At 36.3% G+C, this 23,639-nt stretch overlaps 1 protein-coding gene and 1 non-coding gene across 7 annotated transcripts in view; both read left to right on the plus strand.

Annotated features, from left to right (window-relative positions):
* Window positions 1-23,639, plus strand: part of MIB1 (MIB E3 ubiquitin protein ligase 1) — a 166,038-nt gene that overhangs the window by 95,101 nt on the left and 47,298 nt on the right. For 2 of the 6 annotated variants that reach the window (XM_047437676.1, NM_020774.4), the window contains exons 10-12: window positions 3,891-3,998; window positions 15,600-15,797; window positions 19,479-19,630. In XM_047437676.1, the coding sequence (XP_047293632.1) occupies window positions 3,891-3,998; window positions 15,600-15,797; window positions 19,479-19,630 (458 nt within the window). The other 4 variants (XR_007066203.1, XM_011526098.2, XM_017025874.2 and 1 more) reach the window with 4 other exon arrangements.
* Window positions 17,608-17,812, plus strand: LOC124904362 (small nucleolar RNA SNORA73 family). The gene has a single exon (XR_007066476.1). It is a non-coding gene; the product is annotated as a small nucleolar RNA SNORA73 family (small nucleolar RNA).

Below are 23,639 nucleotides of genomic sequence, written 5' to 3' on the forward strand. Positions count from 1 at the left end.
ATAGTATAATGAACCTTATCCTCAACAATTACTAAGATTTTGCCAGATGTGCTTCATTTATTTCTTCTTTCTTGTTTTTGTGAAGTATTTTAAAGCAGACATCAGACATTCTTCAGTGTGCATTTCTAAAAAAACCAGACATTTTTGTATTTAACATTATGACCTTTTTTATGATTTACACACTTACATTTTGGTTTTTAAAGACTAGTATCCTTTTGGGAAATTCAGCGATTTTTTTTTTCCTCATGTAAACATCATTTTATGACATCTTCTAAGTATATTTTAGTGAATTTTATAAGCAATTTTCTTTTTATTTTTAATTTTTGTGAGTACATAGCAGATGTGTATATAAGCAATTTTCAATCCTTCTTTTCAAAATATTTAATGTAACTCCTCTCCACCCCAGTGATAGTTGACTATTTCACAATTTATAAGGCAGATGAATTAAAGGCCATATATTTTATAACTCTTCCTAGGTTATGTTGTGTTTTTGCCATTCATTCAAGCTATCTTTTAAGTGGGCAGTTTTGATTCTAGTCATTGTGCTTTGGCTTTGGCATTGATACCTTGCTGGCACCAGTATTACGTTCGGTGTCAGCCAAGAAGTTGTAGTTGGAGTGACAATTTGAATCATTCTCACTGTGTTGTAAGGGTTTTTGTTGCCATACCTTTCTTTGGATGTTTGTTTGTTTTTAAGTATGCTAGACAGTTTGAAGATGAGATCTATAATTGTAAAGTATTAATGTCTTATTTCTCCTATAAGCTCGACATGTTAGCTTTATTATAGAGAAATCAATTGTAGCAATACAGCACAGCAATTTGTTGATTGGTTATGAGCTATGTAAAAATAATTTGCTTCAAATGTTGAAGTACCAAGTATTTTTTGTGTTTGAAAGATAGTCGGATTTCCTTTGTATTCCAGTCAAGCAGATTTAGGTTTTACTGTACTTAAGTTTTTTCTTCATTTACTTACTAAATTATTTTAAAATTATTTTTTAAGAACATTATAGTACTAAAAATTTAAAGGAAAATACAGTTCTATAAGATTTGTTATGAAAAATAACATCTCCTCTTTCTCACCCCTATTTTCCTGTTCTACAGAGGCAGCTATTCTTAGCTGGCTGATAGCCTTCATATTTACCTCTACATTTTCCAGTAACATACCAGTATACCTCTGTTATAATGTCTTAATTTTCTTTCTTCCTTTCCTTTACCTTTTCCTTTCCTGGATCTTTTGATACCTCACAGTGGAAGGTGAGGATTTAGCTTTATTTCACCACTTCCATCCCATGCCCACAAGACACACACATACTGTTTCTAGCTTCATCATGTAGTTATATTGTAATTTTGTTTGGATTAAAATTAGTTGTGTATGTTATATAAATGACATTCATAGCCATGCTGTGGAGTATATTAGATTATGTTTTCCTGCCTAACTTTTTGTTTTAATTGGAGTTCACAGTTGTCATTTTTAAAAAGCTGAAGTATAATTTCCATACAGTGAAATATGTGGATCAGCCAGTTTTGACAAATGCATACCACCCACGTAGTCCACACCTCTATTAAGATGTAGAATATTTCCTTCATTCCTAAAAGTTACTTGTGGTCTTTCCCAGTCCCTCTTTACCTTACATGTAATTTTTATATTTTTTCATTTGTTAGTAATCTGTATTCTTATACTTAATTTCTTCCTAAATTCCCCTTTAACTGTAACATACCTCAATTGCTCGAGACATTTAGGTACAACAGATGAAATGTGTTCATTTTCATCTTCTGGGAGACATTTCTCTTAGGCCTTCTGATAATCTCCGTCTGAACAGGGTCCTCTGCACTGGATGCCCACTTGGAGTGTCTTCTCACCCATCAGCTTGAGGGTTCCCTTCTCTTCTCTCCTGTGTTGGATTTCTTGTTTTCTGTATCCCCTGTCTTTTTGTTTCTACATTTTCTCTCTTTTTGGTGAAGTAAGGTTTTTATTAGCTTCTGAGAAAGGATGCATGGGAAATAGACCTTTAATATCTGAATTTTTTTTAACTTCACAATTAAGTTTTAGATTGGAATAGAGTTCTAGGTTAGAAGTCATTTTCCTGTAGAATAATTTCAGAATTACTATTGAGAAGATATAAGCCATTCTGATTCCTGATCTTACATGTACGCTGTTTTTTCTCTCAAGCATGATGATATTTTGTCTTGGTTAGCATTAAGAACTTGCACAATGATGCACCTTGATGTGGATCTTTTTTCATCTATTGCTTTAGGTGTTTGACTTTTTAAAACTAGAAATCATGTCATTCATATCTGCAAATTTTCTTTAGTTATTTTATTGGTTATTCTTGGACTATTCATCGAATTTTCTTTTTTTTTCCTGTTTTTTTTCTTTCCTCCACTCCTTTTCTGAGAGGTTCCTTAACTTAATTTTCCCACCCTTTTTCCAAGGTTTTTATTATTCCATCAGTTTTAAATTTCAAGCTTTTCTTGGTTGCTCTTTTCACATTCCTTTTGATAGTATCATGTTGGTATTTAAAGAGGATACAATGTCATGTCTTTCCTTACTGAACATACTAATGATAGGTCTTTATAAGAAAACATTTTCTTGTGCCTGCTTAAGTTTTTGTCTCTTCTAAGTTACTTTTTTCACGTCAGAGCCATTCCTTAGATGTCTGGTAATCCTTGGTTGTTTGTTCTTCTATAAGAGGGGACAAATCTCCAATCCTTGGTTGTCCATTCATATCTCAATAGGACCTTAACAAGCTGATTGATAGCTCTCCTCACTTGGACTTGTTGACTTTGCATTATGGTGATTGGGTATGTAGAGTTTTGGGGGATCTCTAAATACCATCCTATAGCAATCTATTCTCTACAGTTGTTCAAGTTTTCCTGTCTAGGGATGAGATGCAGGCAGCTAGTGTTCTGTCCTTGAGTTTGAGTAGTGGGCTTGGAGTGTGGCCATTGCACATCAGACTTATACCTGAGGCTCCCCTTGTTACCTATGATGTGCTTGTGTTTGTAGGCTTTGAGTTTGTCTGGGATTCCCTGTGCTCTTTACACTGTGGCTTCCTGTTCTCTCTAAAGTCAGATAATGCTTTTCCATTTGTTTTCTCTCTTTCACAAATGTGTTACTTTTTCTTGTTTTCTAATGTTCTCCCTTTATCTTTATGGATTTTTACCTTTTAAATTATTTTATTGTCATTTTAGTGTGGTTTCAGGAAAGATAGTATATAAACATGTGGCCAAGCTACCATCTTTAACTATCTTTAATGATTTTGTGGATGGGATGTAAAAGGGGTAGAATTAAAGAATTGCACTTGGCCTTGGGTATGTCCATGGGTTAGTTATACATGTCCACAACATCTGAAGTGAAGGAAAGGTTGGAAATTACTGCTTTATAATAGTTGTATATAACTACCTTGCTAACTTATTTATATATCCTTATTTATTGTCCTTGCAGTTTGCCTGCAAGTTGATGTTTGGTATTTTTGTTGAATTGAATTTATTTATCCCTAGCAGCTAATATCTTTTCTAAAAGTTTTCTTTTCACTTCAGTGCTTTTTTTCATTGAACCATGGACTCAGAGATTAATCTAAAAAGAAATATATATACAAAACCAACTTAACTTACTTCCTTTCTTTCTCCCTTCTTTCAACTTTGCAGATTGCCTAACAGTTATTTCGTAACTCTTTGGACAATGAAACTTTTGTTTTTTAAAACAATGCTTGCTTCCCTTCTCAAAATTAAGAAGTCTGTAGTTATCTGAACTATGATATATGGAACACCAACCTAAATTATTCTCGTGGAATCATACAGTATACTAGACTTAAACCTACACCGTATGTATATATTGCCTGTTTCTGATTATTCATTCATTCTTTCATTCTTTTTTTTAAAAAATGTAGGTAAATGGGCAATGTGCTGGCCACACAGCTATGCAAGCTGCTAGTCAGAATGGACATGTTGACATTTTGAAGTTACTTTTGAAGCAAAACGTGGATGTCGAAGCAGAGGTAAGTAAACTTGAAAAATATTTTAAGTAAACATTTATTTCCTAGAAATAATACTTCTATATCATGAGATGGATTGTTTTTATTTTTGAAATTTAGTATCCAACTAAGGCTTTTCTGATTGAAAATAAAAATCTGACAGAGGCAACTTGAAACAGTTCTTGTCTTTCTGTGATCCTTTATATTTTAGCCATAGTCCTAGGTAAAGATAGGAGTTGAGTTTCATATTACTGTGGTGTAACCATCATGTTTTAGGAGCTAAAGGTGGGCTTGTCCAAGAATCAAGAATCATACTAGGGAAATTGAAGGACGAGGAATATAAATCCACTGGGTCAGAATCTTTCCTGATCTCTGTGACAGTTGGAAACTTTTTTTGTTGTTGTTTTGTCATAACTGAATTAGCATTTTTTAAGTTTTATTGTTTCTTGACCTTAATGTGAATATTTGAAGAGTTCATAATGCATGTTTATCACCATATGTGTGTATATATGCTTCATTTAATTTAGAATATATTCTTATAAAAGAGAAACACTTCTTAATATCATTGGAGTCTTGACTGGGGATCTCTCTGTATCTCTATTGTGAAGGATGTCTTGCTTTGTCTTACTTAACTACTCATTACTAAAAATGTATTTGAATCACACTTATTTTAGTATAGTGCAAGATTATTTAGAATAAATCAAATTCTAGCAAATTTAAATTAGGCAGAATGTTGCAATTTTGTCTAAAAAACACTCTCATCTGTGAGTGCTTAATGAGGACTTGAATTGCTGAGGGCTAAATTGGTGGATCAACCTGATTTTACTAATTAAAAAATTTAAAAAGATGCATATTGGAAAAGAGAAGCCTTTTCTAGTCTTATGTTACTTTTTCTTTTTTCTCTAATTGTATGTATTTTGAATTGTTGGACAGCTACTAAAGAGCCTGTGGTTTTTAAGGGTAAACAGGTCATCTATAATGTTGGAATTTTCTGCTGCCTAGAAATAACTTGAAATTAATTAATTAATTAATTAATTTTTGAGGCAGAGTCTCACTCTGTTGCCCAGGCTGAAGTGCAATGGCGTGTTCTCAGCTCACTGCAACCTCTGCCTCCTGGGATCAAGTGATTCTCATGCCTCAGCCTCCCCAGTAGCTGCGATTATAGGCGCCTGCTACCACACCTGGGTAATTTTTGTATTTTTAGTAGACACAGGGTTTTGCCATGTTGGCCGGGGTGGTCTCGAGCTCCTGACCTCAAGTGATGTGCCTGCCTCAGCCTCCCAAAGTGCTGAGATTACAGGTGTGAGCCACCGCGCCTAAGAACTTGAATTTTAAATTAGCATATTAGATATCTATGAACTATACAATAGTTTTATTACTATGATGTCTTTATGAATGAGATTATATAATTTGATGTTACTTTTGCACTAGTAATTTTTAAGTTGCATCTTTCTTGATTGTAAGTTTAGGAACCTAGTGTGTGTTACAAGTTTTGTTTTGGTAATTAAAGTTAATTTTAGTGTTTTGTATATAGAATATAATTACTTTATTTTCTTATTATTTTAGTTTTATTTGGTGGAATGGTATGAAATTTCTTGAGTTGAATATCTGATTTTTAATTTAGTGAATCCAGAAACTCCAATAGCAACAACTACTGAAAAACCAAAGTCCTTCTGATTACAGCTAATAAGGCAAGAAGCTGAAAAACCACATTTCTTTTTGCCTAAGTTTCTTTTTAAAGTTGCTTTCAGATTCAGAATTTAATCACCAACCTGGCAGCATGGGATTATTCATATATTTGCGTTTCTAGAGATTTTTGTTCACATGAGAGGTTTTGCAGAATGGGTTTGCGGCTGTGGAATTAGGAATGAAATTGGCACTGTTTTTCAAGAGTAATTTTCTTTCTTTCCTTTTTTTTTTTTTTTTTTTTTGAGACAGAGTCTCCCCCTGTTGCCCAGGCTGGAATGCAGTTGAGTGTTCTTGGCTCACTGCAACCTCCGCCTCCCGGTTCAAGTGATTGTTGTGCCTCAGCCTCCCGAGTAGCTGAGATTACAGATGTGCACCATTACGCTGGGCTAATTTTTGTATTTTTAGTAGAGTTGGGGTTTCGCCATGTTGGCCAGGCTGATCTCTAACTCCTGACCTCGAGTGATTTCGCTTACCTCAGCCTCCTGAAATGCTGGGATTACTGGCATGAGCCCCATGCCTGGCCAGATTTTTTTTTTTTTTTTGATACAGGGTCTTGCTCTGCCCTGACTGGAGTGCAGTGGCATGATTATGGCTCACTGCAGCCTTGAATTCCCAGGCTCAAACAATTCTCCCACTTCAGCCTCCCAGGTAGCTAGGACTACAGGTGTGTGCCATCATGCTTGGCTAATTTTTAAAAATTTTTATAAAGAGATGGTCTCACTATGTTGCCCAGTTTGGTCTCAAACTCCTGGACTCAAGTGATCCTCCTGCCTTGGCTTCCCAAAGTGTTGGAATTACAAGTGTGAGCCATTGCGCCCAGCCTCTTTTTTTCTTAATTGTACTCAAATACAAAACAAACAGTTAGTTAATACTATAAACATGGTATGATGGGAGTTGAAGTGAGTCTTGGTAGTCTAGATATTTATAAATAGTTTTTTGTTTTTTGTTTTTTTTTTTTTGAGACGGAGTCTTGCTCTGTCGCCCAGGCTGGAGTGTAGTAGTAGCGCGATCTTGGCTCACTGCAAGCTCTGCCTCCCGGGTTCACGCCATTCTCCCGCCTCAGCCTCCCGAGTAGCTGGGACTACAGGCGCACGCCGCCACACCTGTCTAATTTTTTGTATTTTTAGTAGAAATGGTTTCACCGTGTTAGCCAGGATGGTCTCCATCTCCTCACCTCGTGATCCACCTGCCTTGGCCTCCCAAAACACTGGGATTACAGGCGTGAGCCACCGTGCCCAGCCAAATAATGTATTTTTAAGTTTGCAAACTGACTGCTAACTAGAACGGTGAGATACATGGGACTTTTACCATATTCCTCATTTGGATTTCCATTTTGTGCATTTTTTTATTTTAAAATTCATTATAAGCAGGTGCGGTTTGTAGAAGTGTGAAAAGGGATATTAAGAACACAGTTTCCCAATTGGTAAAGGAAAAACTATATTGAAAAATTGAGTTAAAATATAAATATCGGCCAAATGCACTGATTCACATCTGTAATCCAAGCACTTTGGGAGGCTGAGGTGGATGAATTGCTTGATCCCAGGAGTTCAAGACCAGCCTGGGCAACGTGGCAAAACCATGTCTCTATTAAAAATATAAAACATTAGCCAGGTGTGCTGGCACACAGCTATAGTCTCTTCTACTTGGAAGGCTGAGGTGGGAGAATCACCTGAGCCCAGGAAGCCCAGGCTGTGGTGAGCTGAAATTGCACCACTGCACTCCAGCCTGGGTGGCAGGAGTGAGACCCTACCTCAAACAAGACTACAGCCCAAGACTAAAGCAAAAGTTCATCAAAGTTTAATTTTTCTAGGATATAAGAATTAACATTGCCTATTAAACAACTATATAGTTTGTTTAATACATTGGTTCTCAGCTGGGGGCATTTAGGCTCCACAAGGGACATTTGGAAATGTCCGGAGGCATTTTTAATTGTTACAAGTGGGTGGGTGGAGGAGGTACAGCTGACATCTAGAGGATAGAAGCTAAGGATGCTACTGAATGTCCTACAGAGCTCAGGACAGCTCTCACAACAGTGATCTGGCTTTAAATGTCAGTAGTGCTAAAGTGGAGAAAATAGTTAATTTTGCAGATGCACTTAGATTTGTCATTCATAATTTGCCAGCCTGTTTATAAAGTGATTTGTTTTTTTATCAACTTTTTTATCATTGGAAATATTAAACATATACAAAAGTAGAGATAATAGTATAATGAATCTTATGTACCCATTGCCCCACTTCAATTAATACTCATAGCCAGTTTTATCTATACACCTTTCCTCCCATTCCCCCTACTGAATTATTCTGAAGCAGATTTAGGTAGATACCATATTATTTCATTAGTAAATATTTAATATGTATTCCAAAACGTAAGGGCTCTTTTAAAAAGTTTCTCACCTTTATCACACCTGAAAATGTTAAAAAACTTTATTACACCTAAAAATGGTAATAATTGATTTTTTAAAAATCTGATTTTATTAAAAGCTTTGGAGTTAGCAGAAGAATAAAGGAAATAATATATTTTGTTCTCTAGTTATCTCATTTGGTAACCTTTCTTTTTTATATGCATTAGGAAGTAGGCTCAAGAGAGTATAGATCAGGGTCTGCAAACTACAGCTCGCAGGCCAAATCCAGCCCTCCATCTGTATTGTAAAGTATTGTTGAAACACAGCACAGCCATTCATTTATTTACTGTCTGTGGCTCCTTTAGTGTGACAGTAAAGTAGCTGTGTAGTTTCGATAAGAGACTATATGGCCTGTAAAAAGTAAAATATTTACTTTCTGGCCCTTCACAGAAAAGTTGCTGGCCCGTAGCATAGATGACTATTGCAGAGTTTTTGGTTGATTTAAGCTGTTATCAAACAATTATTTGGTACATAGCATACCTTTGGAACATGTGATAAGATTATATTTTGTTTCCTATTTCTTTTTCTTAGGGAAACCTCAAAGAGCTCTTTTGGAAAGTTGATTGTCTCCATATATTGACCTACTGAATTCAGTAGGATTACATTCTGTTTCTTCTTTAACGTATAGGTAAAGGCATCAAGGACTATGATATCTTAGGTATGTTGATATAGGTGAGCTAATTTTGGATCTGCCGTGGACTCTATTTTTTTCCCCCACTGATGAAGTATAATAGTAAAGGTATGGAGATTTGGATGGGAGATGAGTTTTTAAAAATATGTCTTTATTATGAGTTTCCAAACATAGTACATCTGCTTAAGTTATAAGGACATTTGGGGTAGTTTGGGGTAGTTTCATCATTTAATTAAAAAAAAACTGCTTCAAATGGAGAAGATTAGTAGTAGGGAACAATACTAGACTTTGTCAGATAACCCAAATTTTTTGGCTAGATGGACTAAGAAAAAAGAAGACTCAAATTACCAAAATCAGAAATGAAAGTGGGTACATTACTACTAATTCTACAGAAATAAAAAGGATTATAAGAGAGTACTATGAACAATATGCCAACAAATTGGATAACCTAGATGAAATGGATGAATTTCTAGAACACAAAACCTGTCAAGACAGAATCATGAAGAAATAGGAAACCTGAATAAACCTATAACTGGTAAGGAGATTGAATCGATAGTTGAAATTTTCCTAACAAGGAAAAGCCTTGGACCTTATGGTTTCAGGGGGGATTTCTGCCAAACATTTAAAAAAGAACTAATATTCTTTCTCAAACTTTTCCAACAAATTAGAGAGGAGGGAAGACTTCCTAACTCATTCTAAAAAGCCAGCAAAACCAGTACAAAGCCAGAAAAAGGCACTACAAGAAAACTACAGACCAATATACCATATCAACATTGATGCAAAAATCCTTAACCAAATATTAGTGAGCTACATTCAGCAGCATGATAAAGGGATTATACACCATGATCAAATGGGATTTATTCCTGGAATGTTAAAAATGGTTTAACATAGGAAAATCAATTAGTGTAATATGCCACATTAACAAAATGATGGGGAAAAACTGCATAATCTTTCCAATTGACCAGAAAAAGCATTTGACATAATTTAACACCCTTTCATGATAAAAACATTGAATAAACTTGGAATAGTAGGGAATTACCTCAATGTAATAAAAGCCATATATGAAAAACCCACAGTGAACATGATATTCAATGGTGAAAGACTGAAAACTTTTCTTATAAGAACAGGGCAAGGATACCTGCTTTTACCAGTTCTATTTAACAGTACTAGAAGTGCTGACCAGAGCAATTAGGCAAGAAAAAGAAAAGACATCCGAATTGGAAAGGAAATAAAAATTATCTCTGTTTGCAGTGATCTTAGTGAAACCTAAAGATTTCAACAAAAAAACTTTTAGAACAAATTTAGCAGTTTAGCAGAATACGAAGTTAAAACACAGAAATCAGTTGTATGTCTATACATTAACAATGAACAGTCTGTTAATTGAACAATCTGTTAACAATGAATCTTTCAGGAAATTGAGAAAACAACTCCATTTACAATAGCATAAGAATAAAATACTTAGGCATGAACTTAACGAAGGAGATAAGACTTATACATTGAAAACTACAAAATATTGCTGAAAGAAATTAAAGAAGACAGATAACTGGAACTACTTCCCATGTTCATGGATTAGAAAATTTATATTGTTAAGATGTCAGTACTACCCAGAGAGATCTACATATTCAATGAAATTCTGTCAAAATCCTAAAGATGTTTCTTGCAGAAATAGAAAAATCTATCCAGAAATTCATAAGGAATCTCAAGAGAGCCCCAAACAGCCAAAGCAATCTTGAGAAAGAACAGAAGTTGGAGGACTCACTCTTCCTACTTTCAAGACTTACCACAAGGCAACAGTAATCAAGACAGTGTATTACTAACATAAGGGTGGACATAAAGACTGAAAGAAGAGAATTGAGAATTCAGAAATAAGCCTTTGCATTAAGGTCAATTGCTTTTTGGGGTCCAAGACAATTTAATGGGAAAAGAGCAATCTTTTAAACAAATGGTGCTTGGGCAACTAGATATTCATATGTAAAAGAATAAAGTAGGAACCTTACCTAACACTATATACAAAAATAAATTCAAAATACCTGAAAGATCTAAAAGTGCGATATAAAACTATAAACCTTTTTGAAGAAAAAGAGGGCAAAAACCTCACAGCATTGTATCTGGCAGTGATTCCTTGGATATGACACCAAAAGTACAGTCAACAAAAGAAAAACAGACAAATTAGACTTCATGAAAATTAAAAACAACGTGTATCAAAGGACATTTGTCAACAGAGAGAAAAAGCAGCCTATGAAATGGGAGAAAATATTTTCAAATCATGTATCTGATAAGATATTAAAATCCAAAATATATATAGACTCTTAAAACTCTACATCAAGAAAACCTAAAAAACTCCTTTTGACTTGAATAAACATTTCTGCAAAGAATATGTATGAATGATCAATAAGCACATGAAAAGATGTTTAACGTCACTAATTATTAGGGGAATGCAAACCAAAATGACAGTGAGATACTGCCTTACAGCCATTAGGGTGGCTGTTATCAAAACAACCAGAAAAAACCTGTCAGTGAGGATGTGGAGTAATTAGAACTCTTTGCACTGTTCATAGGAATATAAAATGGTATAGCCACTGCTGAAAAGAATATGACAGTTGCACAAAAGATTTAAAATTGAATTACAATATGATCCAACAGTTCTGCTTTTGAATATATATCCCAAAGATTGGAAAGGAAGTCTTGAGGAGGTATTTGTTCACCTGTGTTTTTAGCAGCAGCATTCGTAATAGCTAAAGCATGAAAGCAGCCCAGGTATCCATTGACAGAAGAATGGATGAGCAAAATGTGGTATGTGCTTATAATGGTAGATCATTAAACTTAAAAAGAAAGGAAATTCTGACACATAAGATCCTTGAGGCCATTATTCTAAGTGAAGTGAGCCAGTTACAAAAAGACAAATACTGTATGGTTCCACTAAGAAGTATAGATAGTAGTCAAAATCATGGGAACAAAAAGTGGAATGTATGGTGGTTTCCAGAGATGGGGGGGTAGGAGGAATAGGGTGTAGAGTTTCAGTTTTCTCAGTTTTTAATGGGTATAGAGTTTCACTTTTGCAAGATGAAAAAAGTTCTAGAGATGGATGGTGGTGATGGTTGCACAGTGATATGAATGTACTTAATATCACTGAATTGTACATTTAAAAATGGTGAAGATGGTAAACTTTATGTATATTTTGCTGCAATAAAAATATTAAAAAATCATGATGGTTATTTAAGGATTATATTCAACACCCATTTTTATTCTTACTAGTTAATAATCACTGTGCTAGCTCCTGGAAATAAGGATGACTAAGACACAGTCATAGCCCCCAAGAAGCCCACAGCCAAGTAAAAAAGACTTCAAACAAATAATTATACTATAGTGTGAGAAATGGTATAATAAATTTGTGAGAGTCAGGGGAAATTTCACAGGAGAAGTGATGCCTGAGCTGAGTTTTATGAGATATCTAGTCTCCAGTCCAAGAGGGTGACGACAAAGAGCACTCCAGGTCTAGGGAGTAGCATATGAAAATGTATAGGATCCCATAAGTTGATAAGTTGGAGCCTGATATCTGAGGGGACTGTGGCAGCAGGCGAGGCTGGAATGGTTCACAGACGTAGGTCTCTAAAGAGATTTGTTTTGTACATAGTAGAGAGACATTGAAGAGGTTTAAACATAAAATTTGTGTTTTACAGAAAGAATTATGACTTTGGTGTGAAGAATAGATTGGGATAAGAAAGTGAAGGGAGGTTGAGTTGTGGTAATCATCCAGGTGAGTAAGAATGAAGGCCTGAATTAGTCTGTGGTAGAGTTGGAAAAGAGAATAGATATGAGCATAAATTGAGGAGTAAAAGCTGTAGAGTTTGGTGATTGCACATAGAGGGTCACAGAGAGGAAGCAGTTGACTGTGACTTACAGATACTGATTTTGTTGACCATATGGTCTGTAGTTCTATCAGCTAAGATAGGCAATACTAAATAAGAGCAGGTTTTGGAAAATGGAGAGAGAATAGGGCAGGGGGATAGAAAGAAACACGATCCGTTTTAGATTTAATTTGAGGCCTCTTTATGAAATTCTTTGAGATAATCTTATAGAGGTTAGCTGTAACCTTGTTCCTTGAAATTCTCTTTTGGCACTAGGAACAGGACAGGCACATGAGCTGTGTTTTAGGTTTATTTGGAGTATTTAAGATGGATTCAGAAGAAAGCAACAAAACTTACAAGTTAAGATTTTATTATAACTGCAGTTTTCTAATTTAGAAGAGAAACCTGGAAGTAAATTTAATTATATTTAATTGTAATTTTCTAGTGTGCGTGTGTATTTTCCATAATTTAAAAATTATTCTTATTTATTTCCTTTTGACAAACATATCAGTTTTTAATTCTTTGGTGTTTATTTTTATGTAAATTATTGACAGCCTGCATTAAGTGTTTCAGTAGTGATTTTCTAACAACCATACAGTGTTAGTGGCCTGATGTTCCCTTTTTTAATGGAAGGTGAATCACAAAATAGGGTTAAAAACTGTAACAGAAAAAAAAAAAAAGACTGGAAGTTAGGAAGATTTTAACTCTAAGATTCTGAATTATATCTGTTACTAGAGAGATTAACTTAGAGAGATTAACTTATGTATACATGCATATATATCTTATTTTTGTTTTGTTTTTTAAAACACTTGTTTTTCTGGGATGTTTGAATATAATGCTACTCAGAGGCACAAGAGTTGAGAGAGGTGCCAAATCCTAACCACAAGACCCCCAGGGAAAAGGCACAAGAGTTGAATCTTAAATCTTAGATGTGGTTGTTTGCCAGTTCCTTTCTCAAAATTGATACGTAACAAAAACTGATTCAGCTGGAAATATCAGTAAGGTAGAAATATCCCTGAGTTGTAGGTCCCTACTGTTGTGGATTCCTACATGAGTGCTTTTACCTTTAATACCTGTTTGAGAAAATACGCAAAGACCAAAAACTACTTTGAGTTCTGTAACTGTTTTGAATGAACTATTTAAGTGCATTTAATCATAACAGTGTTTATCTGTGCTTTCTTTGAAAGTAGTTCAGATAATCCTGGGTGCCATATGGATTGTCAGACCCCTTGCAAAACTAGGGAGTCCACCAGGGGCTGGCACAGTGGTATTGGGAATCGGAAACCACTGCTTTGGATGGAGGAAGTCTTAGAGTACCAGGATCAGGGACAGACACATGGTCTTGGTGGGTGTTAAAATTTGCAATGCAGTATTGGAATAAATGCAATACGCTTATACCTACTACCCTTTTCCATCTGCTTCTGGCAAGGCAGTGAGACTTCTTTTCATACTTTTTGGTATAAGCTATGTATACTACCTTCATGGCGCAGTGCAGGCAGTTTTTCCCCTTTATAAAGTACCTTCTTTTAGTTTTAAAAAATTTAAGCAATTTGGTCTTTCCTGCCTTCTCATTTCTTCAGAAATATGCCTGTTACAGGAGGTGAGGCAAATCTATTTGATTCTTCTGAAATAGTTTTGGAATTTTTGATATATGGAATTTTGGTAGTTTATGCTTCGTTTTTATCTTTTAATGGTGTATTTAATTTTTTTTCTGTTCTCGAATATACAGAAAAATGTATGCTCATCACTTAACCAGTTTTAATGTGTTGATAAATTGCTCCCCATTAAAGCCAGTTGAGATCACATTGTTTGGCATTCTTTTTTTTTTTTTCAATCACACAACTCATCTTAGTTTACTTTTTGTGTCATCTTTGTAGGACGTGCACGGTGGCTCACACCTATGATCCCAGCATTTTGTGAGGCTGAAGTTGGAGAATTTATTAAGGCCAGGAGTTAAAGGCTGCAGTGAGCTATGACTGCCACTGCATTCCAGCCTGGGTGACAGAACAGGACCCTGATTCTTTTTTTATTGAGAGGCAGTCTTGCTCTGTCGCTCAGGCTTGGAGTGCAGTGGCCCGATCTCAGCTCACTGCAACCTCTGCCTCCCGGATTCAAGCAGTTCTCCTCCCTCAGCCTCCCGGGTAGCTGGGATTACAGGCATGTGCCACCATGTCTGGCTAATGTTTGTAATTTTAGTAGAGACGGGTTTTCTCCGTGTTGGCCAGGCTGGTCTTGAACTCCTAACTTCAGGTGATCCGCCCGCCTTGGCCTCCCAAAGTGCTGGGATTACAGGTGTGAGCCACTGCGCCTGGCCTAGGACCCTGATTCTTTAAAAACAACAACAACAACAACAACAAAAATGGTCTTTGTAAAAATTTTTAAATGTCAAAAAAAATTGGCTTACCATCATGGCTGATAAATGAGGAATGCTGAAAGTTCAAGCTGTTGGTTTTATATATATATATATATATATATATATATATATATATATATATATAAAATTATATATAAATGTATATATATAAATAAATAAATACATATATATAAAATGATCTAAGTTTATCATTTATCTTTGGGAGTTAGTCACTGTTCAAGTCAGTTTCTAGGTTTTAAAAAATTTTTTTATAGAGACAGGGTCTCACTCTGTTGCCCCGGTCAGAGTGCAGTGGTGCGATCATAGCTCACTGTAACTTGAAACTCCTTGGCTCAAGCAATCCTCCTGTGTCAGCCTCCCAAGTAGCTGGGACTACAGGTGGGTGCCACCATGCCTGGCTCTCTCTACAAGACAGGATCTTGCTATGTTGCCCAGATTGGTATTGTTGGAAATCTTACTCACATTTACAGTTTACTTGGCCTCAAGTGATCCTTCTGCCTTGTCCTCCCAAAGTGCTGGGATTACAGGCATGAGCCACTGCACCTGGTCAAGTTCTAGTTATTTTGTTGTTTCCTACATTGCCTTTTCTCAAATTAATCTGCTTCTTGGTATATTATTATAGCTTCAAGGTTTTTTTCTTTCTAAAATATTCACTAATTCACATTTCAATACTAATGATTAGGATAAAGATGGTGATAGAGCAGTTCACCATGCAGCTTTTGGAGATGAAGGCGCTGTTATAGAAGTACTACATCGAGGTAGTGCTGATTTGAATGCTCGAAACAAGCGCCGACAGACACCACTTCATATTGCTGTCAATAAAGGTCATCTTCAAGTTGTGAAGACTTTATTGGACTTTGGCTGTCATCCCAGTCTCCAGGTAAAACCTTTAAAGAAACACATCCTGCAGGTATTGCTAGGATCCTATTAAAGGGAAACATTAAGTTCTATGGTAAGCATTCCTTTGTTACCGTTCTCATATGTCATAGTAAATGATACCAAAGGCGTAAGATGTTACAAAATTGGCAGCTATTTCTTTTTTAAAAAGTTGTTTTTTTTTAGGGAAAATGCCAATAGATTGGGTTTTGATTGGGCAGGGAGAATGAGGACTTCTTTGTAAAAATATCAGCTTATGAATGGATTTAACTTTATTGATCATGACAGTGAGCTCAACAGCTTAAAGAAGTGTAATAGGCTATATTTCATAATAGTTACTTCATAACTATTTAAATTATTTTAATTGTAGCTTTTATTGTAGCTTAGGGACTTTGAATAGTCGTTAGTGTAATCTTCGGAGATTTCTGTTTTGGAAAATGTATAGGATTTTAGAGTTGATTTACAGTAGGATCTAATTTTTGAAGCAATGATTGCCTAAGAAATGATTATCCCCAGCTACAGTTTTATAACCAGATAAATTAAACCACAAATATATAGAAAATGTAGTCTGTGTCCATTTTCTGCTTAGTTTGGTTACTAAGCAACTTGTCTTTTGTGCACCTGTTTGATTAAAGTTTCTATACTTAGTAATTTTGTAGCTCCTGAATCTAATTTGCCAACTTTTAGGTTCCTTAACCGAATAGGCTTGAAACAACATATTATTTTTAAATAAAAGTGTTCCCTGAAATACTATTTGAATATGTAAAACATAATTTGTTTCCATTGGAAACTCAATAATGATTTTTTAAAAAGTAGGGCAGTGGTTAGAATCATAAGCTGCTTGTAGTTTAGATAATTTACAGCATCCAGGAATTGGTTGCTGGATTGGATAGATCTCAGAGAAGAAATAAAGAACAGTAGTAGTGGGAATGAGGGCTTGAGAAGAACTGAAAGAATAGATTTTGTTCAGCTAGATAATTATTAGAAATTAAGGTTTTTGAAGTGCAGCTGTTTTGGAACTGTTGGGATCTAGAGTATGTCCTTGTAAGTGGGAGGCAGGATTGGAGGATGAGGGAAGAATTGGGGGGGTGTTAATCTGTAAGGAGAGGTGATTTATACCTGCTGACGTTTTTTGTCTGAAATGGGAGACAAGTTCATCTGTTGAGAGTGGTGGGTAGAGAAAGAGTAATTGAGAAGAGTGATAAGGACTTGGGGACCTGCAGAAGGGTGTTCCAATCATGTTAGAAGCCCGTTTCAGGTTGAACACTACAGATTTTTAGTGCCGCCAGATACAGGAGTAGAAGGTAGATGGTAGATGGTTGGATTGAACTTGGGTTAGGAATTCTTTTTTTTTTTTTTTTTTTTTTTTTGAGGCAGGGTCTTGCTCTGTTGCCCAGGCTGGAATTCAGTGGCGTGATCATGGCTCATTGCAGTCTCAACCTTCAGGGCCCACCTCAGCCTCCCGAGTAGCTGGGACTACAGGTGTGAGCTGCCATGCCTGGCTAATTTTTTGTAGAAATGCCCAGGTTGGTCTCAAACTTCTGGTCTCAAGCAATCTTCCTGCTCCCACCTCCCAAAGTCCTGGGATTACCGGTGTGAGCCACCATGCCTAGCAGGAATTCTTTATGTAGGTGGATGAATATATTCCTGGGATTAGCAAACATTTTCTATATTGGGCACAGATAATAGTGGCTTATTGGCTTTTGCCACAACTATCTAACTCTCATTGCAGAATGAAAGCAGCCATAGATAATACATAAATGAATGGGTGTGGCTGTGTTCCAATAAAACTTAATTTACAAAAACAGGTGGCTCCAATGTGTAATATCCTGGGATATCATTTTTTCTAGGCTTTGTCCACATGGCTTAGGGGAGCATAGGGCTCTGCCCCATGATGTACAGTCCCTTTCCTCAGTGTTGGAGATGAAGCTGGGTCTGGTGTTTGCACTTTCATATTCCTGTAGCTTCTCAGAATCCTGTGGACAGTGACTGGGGAGACAAACCATGCAGGAAATATGTCTAGTAAAAAAGAATAAAACAAACAAAAAACAAGTGGCAAACTGAATTTGGCAACTGTAGTATATGCTGTAGGCCAGGTTGTATATGACTTTACTGAGAATAGCATCTGTTCAACTATGAAATGAATGAAATTTAAATTATTCATGTCTGTACATGACTGCTAATGAATAAAAACTTACTGCTAAGTCAATTGATTAATGTAAAAAGTAGTCAGCTTGAAAAAATGGTAGACTGAGATTGCTAAATTTTAATTTACAATTGTTTTACCTTTGGCTAACTAGCCACTTTGCTGCCCTTTGAAAACGCTTAGATTAATGTTTCTCACCTGTGACTGCACAAGATGTTCATCTGTGGAGCTTTGAAAAATTACTCATGCCTCACTCTCACCTCTAGAGATTTAGTATGGTGAACAGCCTGGACATCAGATTTTTTTTTCTCTTTTTTTTCCTCTGTACAACAGATTTTAAAAGATCTCCCCAGCAGGTTCTAATGAGCAGCCAAGTTTGAAAGCCACCGACTTTCAATTCATTGTTATGGTGTAGGTTTGGTATGGAATTTCAGGGTATGACAATTAAGGCCATTTTAAACTTATAAAATTTGGGGGGCAGCTTTATCACTTCACTGGTTTTTGTCATTAGTTATATTTGAGGCTACTTCTTTTCTTTTCTTTTTGCTTTGTAAAGCTTCAGCATGTGCCAGGAGTGGTGGCTTATGCCTGTAATCCCAACACCTTGAGAGGCTCATGTGGGAGGATCACTTGAGCACAGGAGTTCAAGACCAGCATGGGCAACATACTGAGACCCCCATCTCTACAAAAAAAGAACTTTGCCGGGCAAGGTGGCTCACGCCTGTAATCCCAGCACTGTGGGAGGCTGAGGTGGGCAGATCACGAGGTCAGGAGTCTGAGACCAGCCTGGCCAACGTGGTGAAACCCCGTCTCTACTAAAAATACAAAAATTAGCTGGGCATGGTGGTGGGTGCCTGTAATCCCAGTTACTTGGGAGGCTGAGGCAGGAGAATCGCTTGAAACCGGAAAGTGGAGGTTGCAGTGAGCTGAGATCGCGCTATTGTACTCCAGCCTGAGTGAAAGAGCGAAACTTGGTCTCAAAAAAAAGAAAAAAAAATTCCAGCATGCTTATTTTGTTTTCCAACTAGATTTGAGTATGTCTTTCCTTACTATAATGTGGCCAGTGTTTCTTGCCTGTATTTTTGTTTTTTATATTTTTGGAGATAGAGTCTCGCTCTGTCACCCTGGCTGGAGTGCAGTGGCATGATCATAGCTCACTGGAGCCTTGAACTCCTGGGCTCAAGCCATTCTTCTGCCTCAGCCTCCTGAGTACCTAGGACTATAGGTGCACACCGCCGTGCCCGGCTAATTTTTAAAATTTTTTGTAGGGACAAGGTCTCTATATGTTGCCCAGGTTGGTGTTGAACTCCTGGCCTCTGCTGATCCTCCCGCCTCAGCCTCCCAAAGTGCTAGGGTTACAGACATGAGCCAGCATGCCCAGCCTTTGCCTATATTTTTGTAGTTATCACAGAAAGTGCTCTTTTATTGGTATTTGTTGGATGTGGTCTCTGCTTCTGTTTGCTTAGCATTTGGTGTAAGTATTACTATTAGATGGGATAATTAATTGAAGAACTAATGAAAATTTCTTTAAACTTAAAGGATTCTGAAGGTGATACCCCTCTTCATGATGCAATAAGTAAGAAACGTGATGATATCCTAGCAGTTCTTTTGGAAGCTGGAGCAGATGTTACCATCACAAACAATAATGGATTTAATGCTCTGCATCATGCTGCACTAAGGGGAAATCCCAGGTATGTCACCCCTTACTATTTTAGGTGCAATTCAAAAATATTTTCCTACTGTTGATTCTCTTTTTCTGATACTGATGAAGAAATAATTTTGGCTATTTTAGTATTTTAAATCATTTTAAAGTTTTGTGAATATTATGCCTTTAGTTTTATATGATGATTATTTGGTTGTTAATCTAATACAAATATTATGAAATGATTATTTAAGTTTATATTAAATGTGGTTGTAAAATATCAGGAATACTAGTTTCTTTCTAAAGATTTAATTAAAATGCATTTTATTTTGAGATTTATGTTTCTTCAAAATAATTATCTGGGTGTCCTCTAATTTCATGTTGCCATTTGCACGATAATTATTTTTTAAAACTTAAGACTAAATAAATACTAAGTTACCTAATTCCTTATTAATAATGTAATTAGTTATATAAACTTCTAGTATAGCTATCCCCTCATCCATTGTTACAGCAATAGTATTCTACTGAAAAAAGTATTTGCTGGTTGACATTTGAGAAAGACTCCTTTTGGAGAATCACATTCTTTATGAAGGATCTGCGGTGTCCCACAGAATGGGAAAATGCTTAGCTTTGCTTAATTTAGAGATTTCCATTAACTCACTTTTTGGAACAACTTTACCCTAAGCATTTTAGGAAATTCTGCATTGGATGTCTTCTGTTTATGTTTGAGTCAAACCTGTATACCTGGACTAAGAAAAATCTTCACTTTGATTTTTATTTTGATAATTTTATCTATTCTGAACACTTATTCTTTGGTTCCTTATTGTATTTTTATATCATGTTTCCTTTAGCTTCTTAGGATCACCACTAGAGGGTGACCACAGGAAACAAAAGGATTTTATTGCTACTGCTTATTGGTAACTGTAACAGTGGGTATATATTGTAGGACAAAATGAATGATCATATTTTAGATCACATCTTGATTTTTTTTCCAAATTGCAAATATTTGAACACTTCAGATTTTGGCATTGTGAAGAAGACAGTAGTATTATATTTCCCTGCCCTTCAAACAGAAGATTATGATAGCACTTTCCACATGCCAGCCTCTGCAAAGTGCTTCACATGCATCATCTCACTTAATCCTTTCAACAGCTTTTTGGGGCAGGTGTTAATATCCTCATTTTACACGTGAAGAATATGAGGCTTATAGAGATGAATTTAATTATTCAAGAACACGTAGCTGATTACTGAAGCAGCTGTAACTTGAGCAAGGTCTAGGTGACTTTAGAATCATAACTGTTAAACCACTTTACATCACCTTTTCTGTATTATGGTCTGTCTGTGAAGCAAGACCAAAACACATGGGCAGTGAATGTGTCAATACCTCATTCCTCTTGCTGCTTCATTGCTTAGAGTTATCTTTGCTCTCTCACCAATTCTTAGCTTCCAACTAGTTTTAAAATTTTACTCATTCTACCAATCCTTCCAACCCATTCCATTCTGTTCCCACTGTTGCTGACCCAATTAAGTACTCACCACATTTACCTAGACTATTATACTATTCTTCTAATTTTTTTCTTTGATTTCAGTCTTTTTCTTGATTTAAATTTTATACATTTACAAATTATCCATTCTGAAAGCATAGGTCTAAATGGCTCTCTTCCCCTGTTTCCCAACTTCAGTTTTTGTCTGTTAACATAGAATACAATCTACACACTTTGGCTTGGCATTCAGACCCATATTCTGTGTGTCCTGAGTCTGTTTAACTTTATCTCCTGCTAATCCAATCCCTCAGCCCGCTTTGCCCATCGTCTATTCTCCTTTCCTAAAATATGCTGTCTGCTTTCTTCTTCTATTTTTTGGAGCATTTTCTTTCTTTGGGATGCCCCATCCCGCTTCTTTATCTTAACCGTCTTTCTTCCAGAGCTACCTCCTGTGTCATCACTGGAATTATTTTGTTTGCTCTATACTTCCTTGTTCTGTGTGTGTTTTTTTTGTTTTTTTTGTTTTTTTTTTTTTGAGGCAGAGTCTTGCTCTGTCACCCAGGCTGGAGTGCAGTGGCACAATCTCGGCTCACTGCAAGCTCTGCCTCCTGGGTTCACGCCATTCTCCTGCCTCAGCCTCCCGAGTAGCTGGGACTACAGGCTCCCACCACCATGCCCGGCTAATTTTTTTTGTATTTTTTAGTAGAGACGGGGTTTCACGACGTTAGCCAGGATGGTCTCGATCTCCTGACCTCGTGATCCGCCTGTCTCGGCCTCCCAAAGTGCTGGGATTACAGGCGTGAGCCACCGCGCCCTTCCTCTGTGTTCTTATTTATTATACTTACTATATACTCTGCTTAGTGCTGTTTATTACTATGTGCACTTCTGTCTTTCTCTTTACATTGTGGGCATTCATATTCATCTGTTCATCCTACATATGCTCTGGCTATACAAGGCACTCAATAAATGTTAGTCTTACTTTGACAGTGAGCACACTGTTAAATATCACAAGATGTTATATGATCAATTACAAAATGAATTCTGTAGAGAAACTGTGTTAGGAATTCAAACAGCAATTACTTCAGATTACAATGGTCAAAAAGATTTTATTGAGAGAATTTAGGATTTATTGAGGGAATATGAAATCATAAAGTTTAGTATAAACTGAGAATTGAAGTGCTTAGGAAACAAGTATCTTTTAAATATTTTGAGTTGTTTCATTTTTATTGAGAGTAGGCATAGTATATTCAATAATGCTAAGCCTATACAAGGAAGAGAAAATTTACTTTTATTTTTTTCAATTCTTGCATAAATCTTGAGGGTTCCCCTGAAAATTTAAAACAGCACCTCTTCCAACCAGATATTTGGTGTCAGGTGACATTTAAAAAAAAATGCTTTTATTCTTTAACAAAGTAGTGCTTCAGTTAAAGCTACATGCCTTCTTTATTCCTACTTCCTTAAGACATTTTTAGGTAGTTGTGACTATAGATTGCCAGATAGAGTGTGATTTTAATTGGACACTGAAGAGTATCAGATGACACAGCTTATATTACCAGTTGTAATTGCAAATTGGGATGTTTTGAATTCTTTTTTTCATATCAAATTTCTTTTTCTTAAGGTTGATTTTTCCCCCCCTATACTGTCCAGTGATGTCAGAAGACAGAAGGTGCCATTTTTAGTGTACTCGGAATTAAAAATAACAACCAGTCTTTTTGGCCTTTATACTATAGAAAACCAGCAGGGTGTGGTGATTTACATTTGTAATCCCAGCGACTTAGGAGGCTGAGGCAGGAGGATTGCTTGAAGCCAGGAGCTTGAGATCAACCTGGGCAATGTAGCAAGACCCTGTCTCTAAAAAATTAAAAAATTAGGCTGGGCGTGGTGGCTCATGCCTATAATCCCAGCACTTTGGGAGGCCAACTCAGGCAGATCACTTGAGGCTAGGAGTTTGAGACCAGCCTGGCCAACATTGTGAAATGCTGTCTCTACTAAAAATACAAAAATCAGCTGGGTGTAGTGGTGCGCACCTGTAGTTCCAGCTACTCGGGAGGCTGAGACATGAGAATCACCTGAACCCAGGAAGCAGAGGTTGTAGTGAGCTGAGATTGCACCACTGCACTCTAGTCTGGGTTACAGATCAAGACTGTATCAAAAAAAAAAAAAAAAAGAATCAGCTGGGTGTGGCATCACAGACTTTTAGTCTCAGCTACTTGGGAGGCTGAGGCGAGAATATTGCTCGAGCCTAGGAGTTTGAGACTGCAGTGAGGTATGATCGTGCCACTGCACTACAGCCTGAGCAACATAGCAAGACCCTGTCTCTAAAAAAAAAAAAAAAGAAAGAAAAGAAAAGAAAACCAGATATAGCACGTTGTTATTTCCAGAACCTGATGAAGTGTCTAGATGTCCTATATTTTTGAAGACTGTCCTTTGAAGTCTCTATTTCAAAGGTGCAGATCAATATGAGTCTAGATTTCAAAGCTGATCTTGATGTTTTCTCATAGTATGATAGTAACTGAAACACATTAAGAGAAAAGAGTTACAAAGCCATTTATTGTTGTCTTTTAGAATTGTGGA

Source organism: Homo sapiens, chromosome 18 (assembly GCF_000001405.40).
Source record: "Homo sapiens chromosome 18, GRCh38.p14 Primary Assembly".
In the NCBI taxonomy this organism is placed as follows: Eukaryota; Metazoa; Chordata; class Mammalia; order Primates; family Hominidae; genus Homo; species Homo sapiens.